Source organism: Homo sapiens, chromosome 15 (assembly GCF_000001405.40).
Source record: "Homo sapiens chromosome 15, GRCh38.p14 Primary Assembly".
Classification (NCBI taxonomy): domain Eukaryota; kingdom Metazoa; phylum Chordata; class Mammalia; order Primates; family Hominidae; genus Homo; species Homo sapiens.
Genome location: NC_000015.10, coordinates 54987858 through 55001643, shown reverse-complemented (window position 1 = coordinate 55001643; position 13786 = coordinate 54987858). Strand labels below are relative to the sequence as shown.

At 40.0% G+C, this 13786-nt stretch overlaps 2 annotated features.

The window, feature by feature from the left end:
- Positions 10250-10761: an enhancer, noted in NCBI's record as "H3K27ac-H3K4me1 hESC enhancer chr15:55283081-55283592 (GRCh37/hg19 assembly coordinates)". NCBI's record gives its function as "activates a minimal SCP1, AML or CMV promoter by ChIP-STARR-seq in naive H9 embryonic stem cells {active_cell/tissue: H9 hESC(naive)}" and the evidence as "EXISTENCE:reporter gene assay evidence [ECO:0000049][PMID:30033119]".
- Positions 10762-11273: an enhancer, noted in NCBI's record as "H3K27ac-H3K4me1 hESC enhancer chr15:55282569-55283080 (GRCh37/hg19 assembly coordinates)". NCBI's record gives its function as "activates a minimal SCP1, AML or CMV promoter by ChIP-STARR-seq in naive H9 embryonic stem cells {active_cell/tissue: H9 hESC(naive)}" and the evidence as "EXISTENCE:reporter gene assay evidence [ECO:0000049][PMID:30033119]".

Genomic DNA, 13786 nt, shown 5'->3' with positions numbered 1-13786 from the left:
ACTGCCCTCCAGGCCCAAGGATGTTAGATGCACTGACAGCTTGCACCTATATCTGGAAAAGCCACAGATATTCAATAACCTGTAAGAACAGCCTCAGGAGCTGACACAGGAGTAGATATTGGGAGACCACCCCTTGTACCAATATGCTCTACCTGTGGGACATGGAATCAAAGGAGATTATTTTGGAGATTTAAGATTTAATGACTGCCCTGCTGGGCTTTGAACTTGCATGGGGGCTTGTAGCTTCTTTCTTTTGGCCAATTTCTCCCTTTTGGAATCGGACTGTTTGCCCAATTTCTATATCCCCATTGTAACTTGGAAGTAATTAACTTGTTTTTGATTTTACAGGCTCATAGGTGGAAGGGATTTGGTTTGTCTCAGATGAGACTTTAGACTTTGGATTTTGAGTTAGTGCTGCAACAAGTTAAGACATTGGGGGAATATTGGGAAGGCATTGTTGTATTTTGAAATGTGAGAAGAACATGAGCTTTGGGAGGGGCTGGGTCAGAATGATATAGTTTGGATATTTTCCCCCACACAAATCTCATGTTGAAATGTAATCCTTGGTGTTGGAGGTGAGGCCTAGTGGGAGGTGTTTGGATCACAGGGGCGGATCCCTTATGAATGGCTTAAGCCATCCCTTCATGATAAGTGAGCTCTCACTCTGAGTTCACACCAGATCTGGTGGTTTAAAAATGTGTGGCATTTCTCCCTCCAACTCCTTGCTCCTGTTGTTGCCATGTGACTTGCCTGCTCCCTCTTGACTTCTGCCATGAGTAAAAGCTTAATAGGGTCTCCCCAGAAGTGGATTCCAGCACTATGCTTCCTGCACGGCTTGCAGAAAAGTGAGCCAATTAACCCTCAGCCAATTAACCCTCTTTTCTTCGTAAATTACCCAGTCTTAGGTATTTATTTATAGCAATGCAATAATGTTCTAATACACCTATGGTTTCATTCTTTTTATACTCTGGCTTTTTAGTTGATTGTCTTTCTAGATCCGGAAAATTGATTACTTTCAGCTACCTGTTAGTCCTCCTGTGTCTAACGCCACCTATCCTTGGTTTGGCTAGCTGGTGTGTGCAAACCATCATCATTTTATTAAGCACAGTGGGGCTCTTTATTTTATAAAAAGAAACAGCTGATATTATTTGATATTTAGGTATCTATCCTAGAGAATTTTAAGTTGGTTCTTCAGCACTTAGCATAGTGCGTGAAACATAGAGGTTTTCAAAAATATTTATTGAGTGGATTAATGTGCTCTATATATTAAATATTAAGTATTTTCTTCTCTCAATCTTACTGTGATAATAAATATTTTTTAAAAAGCCACCTCTAGCAGAAAGTGTGGAAGGAATAAATATTAACATTTTGTACTTCGAGAAGTAGAATGGAGGGAAAGGAGAGATTCTTAACTCTTTCTTTAGATACCTCAATAGTATTTGACTTGCTACCAAAAGCAATGTTTTTAATTTAATAAATCCAATGAGATCAAATCAACAACAAAATTTACCCCCACTCCAAAACAAAATTAGAACAAACCACTGGTGGCAGCTGAGTTCCAGACTGTGTGTTTAGATGGGGATCCAGACACTTTCTGGAGTTGATTATGGCTGGATAATACCTCCAAAAAGGGAAAGAGAAAGGACAAGAAGGAGAAAGGATGGAAACAGTGGGGAAAGTATACTAGTGTTTGTCATTATAGTGAGAGAGCGGCCACAGATAATATGTAGATGAAGGGGCGTGGCTGTGTATCAATAAAGCTTTATTTAAAAAATCAGGCAGTTGGCTGAATTTGACCCAGATGCCACCAGAGTTTGCCAACCTCTGATTTAGAGGAAAGAAAAGATTACAGCAAAACTGACAACAATCTATGACTCCACCAATCAGGCCTGACTGAAGCAGATAAGTTCTCTGCATTCCGGTGTTCCCTGTAATGTGCTGTTGACTCTCCACTTGATGGATCTAGTTATACTGGTGTGAGCTGTTGCGACTACAGCTGTGGGTTTCCATCAGCCACGGGGCACCAGGCATACCAAATACCTATTCTTTAGGGAGAAAAGTGTGAGTAATAAATTCAGTCAAACAATTAAATATTATTTCAGTGAATATACCTTACTTTGAACATGTTATATAAAGGTGAATTTAGTTGTTACCAACAGCGTTTCTTATACCGAGAGTTGATAAAGTGCTTGGGTCAGTCAAGGCCAGGCCAGCATCAGTCTAGCTGCCTTTATGTCTACTCTTCTGTCATCTTCCTGTGGGTCTTGCCAGGAGTTTATAGCATCCCTCTGTAATGTCTTTTTGTCTGTGGCTTTGCTGACCTCCTTGCAGAACTCATTCTTGATGTGTTCTTTTCTTTTGGGCAGTTTCTTGCCTGCTCTATCTTTACTTGGGGCAGGGTCTCTCTCTCTCTCTCTCTCTCGCTCTCTTTCCTCTTCTCCTGCTGTTGGGACTTTAAGTTGTCAGCCTGTAAATGGCTCTTGTCATCCACACCTTTGATGTAATTCCTGTTGTGGCTGCTTTCTCATGGTGCAGACTTTAGGTAATCTTTCTTTTCTGCTTCTCAAGACTTGCAGACCTTTAGAGAATGGTCCTGGGGCCCTCTTCCTAACAAGCTGCTCAAAAAGTTAATGGCCATTTATGTCTCTCAATATAACCTGCAGTTTTGGGGTAAGATGTCTGGGCTTCTATTAATGGGCTGCAAGGGCAAGAGAAAAAGTTTTCCTGCTGTCCTGATCTCTAGGATATATCCTGGTCTCTTGATTTCAAAGCATCTTTAAAAGATGAGAGAAAGATCAAAGAGTTTATCAGCCCCCTGGCTCTTAGCAGCTGTAGAAGAGCTGTTTGCTTGTAATTCTTTACTGCACTCCTACAGCTGCTTGTTCTCTCTGATGCTCTCTTGCTGGGGTGAACTTAGGAAGATAAGATGTTCTGGCACTGTAATGCTGAAGCCTGGTAGAAAGGACCCAGGGTCTCCGCTTGTTGTATCCTAGAGAATATCATACTGCAAGTGTGCTTCTGTGGGGACTCCAAGAGAATATTACATATCCTGAGAAGGTCCAAATATAGGTGGAGGAAACTTTGTTGTCTGGCACGGTGCGCCATGAGATATTAAAAGTGTTCACCTTCCAGGAGAGTTCCCATTACTGATATTATTTATGTGGGTGTTGGTGTCTTTGTATACACTAAAATCACATGGTGTCTTAGTGGCCAACATAAACTAAGGAGTAGTAGTAAAATGTTTTAGCCAACATTTTCAGGTTTGTGCTCTGGAATATTCTATATCTGGACAATGTGATAATAGGTCTATAGCATTGTGTTTTAGATATACTTGGGGGAGAATATTTTACAAATGTAAAGAAAGCATGAGAAGATTTATTAAGTGGTCTCTCTCAGGTTGACCCCAGATCATGACCAAAAGAGGAATGGTATGTTCTAGAGTTGTCTCCTCCTAATGTGTAGAAATGAGTGCTACAGCACAAAGTCCCACGAGTCCTCAGCTTGCTAAGAAGCTATGATTGGTCTAAGAGGAGTTTGTGAAACTGTGTGTTAAAGCATTCTCCTCAGTTTTGGAGAAGGGGTAAGGCTCTATTGGGTTTCCAGTGTTGACCACTGAGCTTCATTTCATAGGTCTTGACTTAAAACTTGGGTGCCAAGTCCTAAGTGTTTAATTTAGTCAGCCTCATTAAAAGTGAAAAGAAAACTCAATCAACAAGTCATATTTTCTCTGTCTATGTCCAGGAACATTCAGGAACAGGAGATGAGGACTCATGGGAGATTATAATAGAGGAACTGGTGAACTCCAGGCCTCAAGGAATGGGGAAATTTCTTGAGGGGCACCTATTGTTTTGGGGTGTGGTGTCACATGGTAGGTTTGGGATGGAGTCTTTTCCTAGATTGGAAGCCTAACCCAACCTTCTGGTGAGACTTTGGTTATCTACAAAGAGCACCTGGAGGGATGGCAGGTACCTAATTCTTATAAGAATCATGGAAGAAGCCCTTGAAGTTCAGCCAGGTTGGTGTTTATGCTCAGCTCTGTCTACTTAAAAGATGCCTCCAGGTCTAGATGCAGGGCCCTGGTTACGCCCTTGTGTGAGGTGAAGGTTTGCATAAGACAGGAACTCCAGATTAAGGCAAGGAGGGTCAGTCTCACAAAATAGTGAGCTAAAAAGAAAACTGAACTATTTTGGTCTTAGGGCTTTTAGTCCTGGCACTGCCATTTAGAAGCTGTGTGATCTTAAACAATTTACCTTTCTGGGTGTCACCTTCTTTCCTTTTTAGGAAAATGAGGAAGTTGTATTTTATAGTATCCAAGATACCTTCCAGGTCCAGAATTTTATCAATATAGGAAGCTGTGGTTTGAAGGAAAAACTAAAAACCAACCAGCAAGAAGAGATATGACTCTCTTAAAAATGTCCTAGATGGTTATTATGGCCCTAAATGAGTACTCTCCTTTGCTTTTTTCCCCCCGCCTTTTCTTTTTTAAATGTTAGTTGGATTATATGTATTTTTTTTTCTTAGCCAAGTGCTTCAACTCCTAAATTTGGAGAACTGTTGAACAGATTTCACCTTCTCAATTTTCCCAATTTGTGACTTTGTGTGAGTTAGGTTCTTATGGTCAAAATTTTATTTTTTAATTTTTATTTATTTATGTATTATTATTTTTATTTTTTTACCTTAAGTTCCAGAATACATGTGCAGAACATGCAGGTTTGTTACATAGGTTTATGTGTGCCATGGTGGTTTGCTGCACCTATCAACCTGTCACCTAGGCTTTTAGCCCCACATGCATTAGCTGTTAGTCCTGATGCTTTCCCTCCCATCATCACCCCCACTCCTGACAGGCCCCAGTGTGTGATGTTCCCGTCCCTGTGTCCATGTGTTGTCATTGTTAAACTCCCACTTATGAGTGAGAAGATGTGGTATTTGGTTTTCTTTTCCTGTGTTCGTTTGCTGAGGATGATGGCTTCCAGCTTCATCCATGTCCCTGCAAAGGACATGATCTCATTCCTTTTTGTGGCTGCATAGTATTCCATGGTGTATATGTGCCATATTTTCTTTCTCCAGTCTATCATTGATGGGCATTTGGGTTGGGTCCATGTCTTTGCTATTGTGAAAAGTGCTGCAGTAAACACATATGTGCATGTATCTTTATAGTAGAATGACTTATATTGCTTTGGGTATATACCCAGTAATGGGATTGCTGGGTCAAATGATATTTCTGGTTCTAGATCCTTGAGGAGTCGCCACACTGTCTTTCACAATGTTTGAACTAATTTACATTCCCACCAACAACATAAAAGCATTCCTGTTTCTCCACAGCCTTGCCAGGATCTGTTGTTTCTTGACTTTTTAATAATTGCCATTCTGACTGGCCTGAGATGGTATCTCATTGTTGTTTTGATTTGCATTTTTCTAATGATCAGTGATGTTGAGCTTTTTAAAATATGTTTGTTGGCTGTATAAATGTCATCTTTTGAGAAGTGTCTGTTTATATACTTTGCCCACTTTTGGATGGGGTTGTTTTTTTCTTGTATATTTGTTTAAGTTCCTTGTAAAGTCTGGATATTAGACCTTTGTCAGATGGGTAGATTGCAAAACTTTTCTCCCATTCTATAGATTGCCTGTTCACTCTGATGATAGTTTCTTTTGCTGTGCAGAAGCTCTTTAGATTAATTAGATCCCATTTGTCAATTTTAGCTTTTGTTGCAGTTGCTTTTGGCATTTTTGTCATGAAGTCTTTGCTCATGCCTATGTCCTGAATGGTATTGCCTAGGTTTTCTTCTAGGGCTTTTATGGTTTTAGGTCTTACATTTAAATCTTTAATCCATGTTGAGTTAATTTTTGTATAAGATATAAGGAAGGGGTCCAGTTTCTGTTTTCTGCATATGGCTAGCCAGTTTTCCCAGCACCATTTATTAAATAGGGAATCCTTTCCCCATTGCTTGTTTTTGTCAGGTTTGTTGAAGAACAGATGACTTTAGATGTGTGGTCTTATTTCTGAGGTCTCTATTCTATTCCCTTGGTCTATATGTCTGTTCTTGGACCAGTATCATGCTGTTTTGTTTACTGTAGCCTTGTAGTATAGTTTGGAGTCATGTAGTGTAATGCCTCCAGCTTTGTTCTTTTGCTTAGGATTGTCTTGGCTATGTGGCCTGTTTTTTAGTTCCATGTGAATTTTAAAGTAGTTTTTTCTAATTCTTGAAGAATGTCAATGGTAGTTTGATGGGAATAGCAATGAATCTATAAATTACTTACTTTGGGCAGTATGGCCATTTTCATGATACTGATTCTTCCTATCCATGAGGATGGAATTTTTTTCCATTTGTTTGTGTACTCTCTTACTCTCTTATGTCCTTGAGCAGTGGTTTGTAGTTCTTCTTGAAGAGGTCCTTCACATACCTTATTAGCTGTATTCCTAGGTATTTTATTCTCTTTGTAGCAGTTGTGAATGAGAGTTCATTCATGATTTGGCTCTCTGCTTGTCTGTTGTTGGTGTATAGGAACACATGTGCTTGCACATTGATTTTGTATCCTCAGACTTTGCTGAAGTTGCTTATCAGCTTACAGAGATTTTGGGCTGAGATGATGGGGTTTTCTAAATATAGGATTATGTCATCTGCAAACAGAGACAATTTGACTTCCTCTCTTCCTATCTCAATACCCTTTATTTCCTGCCTGATTGCCCTGGCCAGAACTTCCAATACTATGTTGAATAGGAGTGGTGAGAGAGGGCATCCTTGTCTTGTGCTGGTTTTCAAAGAGAATGCTTCCAGCTTTTGCTCATTCAGTATGATATTGGCTGTGAGATTTTCATAAATAGATTTTATTATTTTAAGATATGTTCCATCAATACCTAGTTTGTTGAGAGTTTTTAACATGAAGGGATGTTTTATTTTATTGGAGGCCTTTTCTGCATCTATTGAGATAATCATGTGGTTTTTGTTGTTGGTTCTGTTTATGTAACCGATTATGTTTATTGATATGTGTATGTTGAACCCATTTGCATCCCAGGGAGGAAGCTGACTTGATTGTGGTGGATAAACTTTTTGATGTGCTGCTGGATTTGGTTTGCTAGTATTTTATTGAGGATTTTCGCATCAATGTTCATCAGGGATATTGACCTGAATTTGTGTGTGTGTGTGTGTGTGTGTGTGTGTGTGTGTGTGTGTGTGTGTGTGTCTGCCAGGTTTTAGTATCAGGATGATACCTCATAAAATGAGTTAGGGAGGAGTCCTCCTTTTCAACCGTTTGAAATAGTTTCAGAAGGAAACTACCAGCTCCTCTTTGTACCTCTGGTAGAATTCAGCTGTGAATCCATCTGGTCCTGGGCTTTTCTTGGTTGGTAGGCTATTGATTACTGCCTCAATTTCAGAACTTGTTATTGGTCTATTCAGGGATTTGACTTCCTCCTGGTTTAGTTTTGGGAGGGTGTATGTGTGCAGGAATTTATCAATTTCTTCTAGATTTTCTAGTCTATTTCTACAAACTATCATCAGAGAATGTGGGGTCAGCAGTGATATTTTTCTATATCATTTTTTATTGCATCTATTTCATTCTTCTTTCTTTTCTTCTTTATTAGTCTAGCTAGTGGTCTATCTATTTTATTTTTTATTTTTTTCAAAAACCCAGCTGCTGGATTCATTGATTTTTTTTTGAAGGGTTTTTCATGTCTCTATCTCCTCCTGTTCCACTTTGATCTTCGTTATTTCTTGTCTTCTGCTAGCTTTTGGATTTGTTTGCTCTTGCTTCTCTAGTTCCTTTAATTGTGATGTTAGTGTGTCGATTTGAGATCTTTCTAGCTTTCTGATGTAGGCATTAATTGCTATAAATTTCCCCATTAACACTGTTTTAGCTGCATCCCAGTGATTCCGGTACAATGTATCTTTGCTCTCATTGCTTTCAGAGAAATTCTTGATCTCTGCCTTAATTTCATTATTTACCCAGGAGTCATTCAGGAGCAGGTTGTTCAATTTCCATAAAATTGTGTGCTTTTGAGTGAGTTTCTTAATCCTGAGTTGGGTTCTAATTTGATGGCACTGTGGTCTGAGAGACTGTTATGATTTCAGTTTTTTTGCATTTGCTGCAGAGTGTTTTACTTCCAATTATGTGGTTGATTTTAGAATAAGTGCCACGTGGCACTGAGAAGAATGTATACTCTGTTGATTTGGGGTAGAGAGTTCTGTAGATGTCTATTAGGTCTGCTTGATCTGGAGCTGATTTCAAGTCCTGAATATCCTTGTTAATTTTCTGTCTCATTGATCTGCATAATATTGACAGTGGGGTGTTGAAGTATCCCACTATTATTGTGTGGCAGTCTAAGTCTCTTTGTAGGTCTCTAAGAAATTGTTTTTTTATGAGGCCAGGAGATTGAGACCATCCTGGCTAACACGGTGAAACCCCATCTCTACTAAAAATATAAAAAAATTAGCCGGGCATGGTGGTGGGTGCCTGTAGTCCCAGCTACTTGGGAGGCTGAGGCAGGAGAATTGCTTGGACTAGGGAGGCAGAGATTGCACTGAGCTGAGATCACGTCATTGCACTCCAGGCTGGGTGACAGAGCAAGACTCTGTCTCAAAAAAAATTGTTTTATGAATCTGGGTTTTCCTATATTGGGTGCATATATATTTAGGATAGTTATCTCTTCTTGATTGCATTGATCCCTTTACCATTATGTAATGCCCTTCTTTGTCTTTTTTGATCTTCGTTGGTTTAAAGTCTGTTTTGTCAGAGACTAGTATTGCAACCCCTGCTTTTTTCTGCTTTCCATTTGCTTGGTAAATTTTCCTCCATCTCTTTTTTTGAGCCTATGTGTATCTTTGCATGTGAGATGGGTTTCCTGAATACAGCACACTGATGGGTCTTGACTCTTTATTCAACAGTCTGTGTCTGTTAATTGTGGCATTTAGCCCATTTACATTTAAGGTTAATATTGTTATGTGTGAATTTGTCCTGTCATCATGATGCTAGCTGGTTATTTTGCACAGTAGTTGATGCCGTTTCTTCATAGTGTCATTGGTCTTTATACTTTCATGTATTTTGCAATGTCTGGTACAGGTTCTTTTTTTTTCTCCATATTTAGTGCTTCCTTCAAGAGCTCTTGTAACTCAGCATTTGCTTTTCTGAAGAGGATTTTGTTTCTCCTTTGCTTATGAAGTTTAGTTTGACTGGATATGAAATTCTGGGTTGAAAATTCTTTTCTTTAAGAATGTCGAATATTGGCCCCCACTCTCTTCTGGCTTGTAGGGTTGCTGCAGAGTGATCCACTGTTAGTCTCATGGGCTTTTCTTAGTAGGTGACCTGGCCTTTCTGTCTGGCTGCTGTTAACATTTTTTCCTTCATTTTAACCTTGGAGAAAATGATGATTGTGTGTCTTGGAGTTGATCTTCTCATGGAGTATCTTAGTGGGGTTCTCTGTATTTCCTAAATTTGAATGTTGACCTGTCTTGCTAGGTTGCGGAAGTTCTCCTGGATAATATCCTGAAGTGTGTTTTCTAACTTGGTTTCATTCTCCTTGTCTCTTTCAGTTACTCCAATCAGTTGTAGGTTTGGTCTTTTTACATAGTCCCATATTTCTTGGAGGTTTCGTTCATTCCTTTTTATTCTTTTTTGTTTAATCTCATCTGCCTCACTTATTTCAGCAAGATAGTCTTCCAGCTCTGATATTCTTTCTTTTTCTTTGTTAATTTGGCTAGTGATACTTGTGTATGCTTCATAAAGTTCTTGTGCTGTGTTTTTCTGCTCCATCAGGTCATTTATGTTCCTCTCTAAACTGGTTATTCTAGTTAGCAGCTCCCCTAACCTTTTATCAAGGTTCTTTGCTTCTTTGCATTGGGTCAGAAAATGCTCCTTTACCTGAGTGAAGTTTGTTATTACTCACTTTCTGAAGCCTACTTCTGTCACTTCATCGATCTCATTCTCTGTCCAGTTCTGTGCCCTTGCTGTAGTTGTGATTACTTGGTGCAGAAGAGCCACTCTGTACTTTTGGGTTTTCAGTGATTTTTTTTTGTTGACTCTTTATCATCTTCATGTGTTTTTCTACTTTTGAGGCTGCTGACCGTTGGATGAGGTTTTTGTGGGGACCATTTTGTTGATGCTGTTGTTGTTGCTTTCTGTTTGTTTGTTTTTCTTTCAATAGTCAAGTTAGGCCCCTCTTCTGTAGGGCTGCTGCAGTTTTCTGGGGGCTCACTTCAGGCCCTATTCACCTGGTTCACTCTCCTGCCTGGAGATGTCACTCAAGGAGGCTGGGGAATAGCAAAGATGGGTGCGTGCTGCTTCCTCTGGGGTCTCTGACCTCGAGGGGGCACCAACCTGATACCAGTAGGAACACTCCTATATAGTATGTCTGACAACCCCTGTTGGGGGTTCTCACCCAGTTGAGTGGCATGGCAAGCAGGACCCGTTTAATAAGGCACTTTGGCTGTCCCTTGGTGGAGGGGATGTGCTGTGCTAGGGGGAAGCCCACTCATCTGGGCTGCCTGGATTCCTCAGAGCTGGCAGGAGGAAAGACTAAATGTGCTGGTCCATGGAGACTACCGCCTCCCCTCCCGCTAGGGGTTCAGACCCAGGGAGATCAGAGTTCTGTCCCTGAGCCCTTGGCTGGAGTTGGAGTTCCTGCAGTTCCTCCAGTGTTGATTGCTGCCCCTCCCCCAAGGAGTTCAGTCTGCTTAGACAGCAGGCAGCTGCAGCAGTGGTGATGGCCGCCCCTCCCCCCGGGAACACGGCAAGTTTAGGCCAATTCTAGTTGAGTGGCTGTTGAGAATCTGTGCAGCTTTGTGGTTGGGACCCAAGGTCCCAGTGGTGTGGGCTAACGAGTGGGATCTTCCAATCTGTGGGTTGCACAGTTTCACGGAAAAGGCACAGTTTTCCAGGCTGGGTAGCATGGTAACTCACCACCTCCCTTGGCTGGAGGTAGGGGCTCCCGTGCCCCTTGTGGCTCTCAGGTAGGTCGCTGCACTACACTGTTTGTCCTTCCTCTCCATGGGTCACGCCAGCCACCTAGTCTGTCCTAATGACAGAATCTGGATACCTTGGTTGCTGGTGCAGGATTTGCACTGTGTTTTGAATCTTTTCAATAGGAGCCTCCAACCGCCACTGCTTCTAGTTGGCCATCTTGGCCCCGCCCTCCCTGGTCAAAATTTACCAGTCATTCCTCATGCTATAGTCTGTCAGATCTTCTCATCTAACCAGTTGCAGTCATTTCTTGACTCTGTCTTGCAGACCAGGACAGCCTATACTCTGTCAATAGGTCTAACCAAGGCATGAGTCACAAAAAGAGCTTTTAGATTAGGAACAGCCAAATACATCACTCATAGGCTGCTACTCTTTGCCTCTACACTTGTGACAGACACGGCCTCAGAATCTTCCTCAACTCAGTGCTCTAATCAGTCACTCCCAATTATAGATGGCTTGTGACATGAAACTCACATGTTGTCTACATTCTCTGTCTTACCATTGCAATGACATCTCTGACAATTTTGATAAACTTTCTGTATTCCCAAAACATATTAGTTATTGACCATAGAGAACTTAGCCCTCCATAACCCTCACTATTTCCTGTATATCCATTGCCACCTGGCCTTCTTTGTTTTGCTGTTGTCCATGAATTAGTATAATGACTAATATCACTGTTTGTCTCTTAAGGCAGATACATAATTTCCATCAGGAAATATCTGTCAAAGTCCAATTATTATCAATTTGTAGCAGCTGGTGGGAGAAAATATGTTGTCAAATGGTTTCCATGGTTTCAATGACCTCCAATGAAACAGATGGTTTCAGTAGAACATGACAATTCTTTCATTATGTAGGCTGCAAATATTTAGCATTCAGATATCATATACCAATAAAAATACCAAAAGTGCTGTTTTTTCCATTTGGAAAAATTTCCAGATGCCATTTCAACATTATTAAGTGGATCATAACCTTTTTTTCAAGGCAGAAACTCAAGTTCAATTCTGATCTTTACTTACATGGAATCAAGCAAAACAAACAAACAAAAAAACAGACAAACCCACAAACATAAAACGATTCTTAAAAATTTTAGTACAACAATAACAAATGCAGCTTTAAAATGTCAACTGTTGAGATTTAATAAAGCAACCCTCTCAAATTAAGTGTATTGTAAGTTTACCTCTTTCCCAATAAGCATACATTTGTCTTATGAATACTGCCACAAAGTATATTTATAGATGTTAATTTTCAAAGAGTTAGCAGGAAAAGAATGGTTGGCACCTATTGGAGAAATATATTAAAAACAGTCTTCCCACCTAGAAATCTTCTTCCCAAAGGTAGTAGAGAGAAAAAAAAAACATTTTAAATGATTGAATAAGCACTAAGCCAGAATGTGATGCACATCACAAGCAATCCACTAAGAGATTGCAAAAACAGAAATCTCCCTTTTTTATATAGATGTTGCATACATATTTTCAAGATAAACAATAACTAGTCCTCAAGTAAGAGGGGTTGACAACACCATTTGTCACAGATAATTTATCCAAACTTTACCTGGTAATTAGAGTGACCATCTGTGTTAGCTAATTAACTTTATCTGGAGAAAAAACAAACTTATCTCTTTGTGACAAGAGGTAGTTTTGCCTCTTGGAACAAGGAGCCTACTAAAGTTAGGGTCCCACCCTCCAATAGAAATTGGGGTATAGGAATGCTATCTCCTGTCGTCCTCCAAATTTGTGAGAAAGACATTCCTCAGTCATTAAGGGAAGAAAAGGCTAGCTGACAAAAGGCCAATGTAGTCTTCAAAAAGATTTATATACATTTCAAAAAGGTGAGAAGGAACTCACAATTCCAAACTTTCTATGGTAAATGCTCTGAGAAAAAGGAGGGGAAGAAAAATCTCTTCCTTTGTTTTCAACATGGAGAATGAAGCCATATTTTAAATTTGCATTTGTCCTTACACACCTAAACACTCTAGAGTAGGAGGACCCCAAGAAGGTTGAACATAGATGTAGGAGCTAAGATGGTAAAAGAAAAGAATCCACCCAGAAAATGAGGTCCTGAGAAGATGGAGAAGGGCCAAATACTGCCTGTGGATTACCCACATACAGATCCAAATACATTCCCTAACATAAAGAGCTCTTAGGATAAAGAAGGAAACTGAAATTCAGGGAATTAAGGTGGAAAAGTCAGGGGTGGAAAACCAGTGTCACAGAAGCCCAACCCAGTACTCTTTTCAGTCTTGTTCCCTTATTTATGAGCTTCAGCTGAATTTATTATTTCATTGATGTCTTCCCTCTGATGTATAAAATATTTCATTATGTGGCTTCCTTTCCTCCCTTCTATGTTTATTCTTTAGTCCTTTGTTCTAATTTCCGTCAAGTCTCAGTTTATCATAAGGTTTTAGCCAAACTTGCACTAGTTTTTTTTCTAATTATGAGACTTTTCCTTATTGCCTATGCATCTTATTTCCAACTTTTATACATTTTAAAAAATTCTGAGCTCAGCAGAGGACCATCTAGGCATCTACATTGATCCTGAAACCACTTTTGTTTGCAAAGATTTTGACAGTGAGAGAAATCTCACATGGCTGACTCCATCTTGCTTCTAGCCTCACAGGCTGGCTGTCCTCACTCATTCCTGGGCAGAGGCCAAGCTAACCATGGGAGGAATTTAGTTTAACTTGGAAGCAAGGATGATAATAATCAGTCCCTAAAACTAACCCCTTCCTTGCTCGGGGACCGAAAACTAGCGAAAGGCCATGAAATTAGGATTTTGGGAGGGGCCTGAATTTTGTTAAAATGCATAGTTCCTATGATCCCTTGCTATTCAAGGG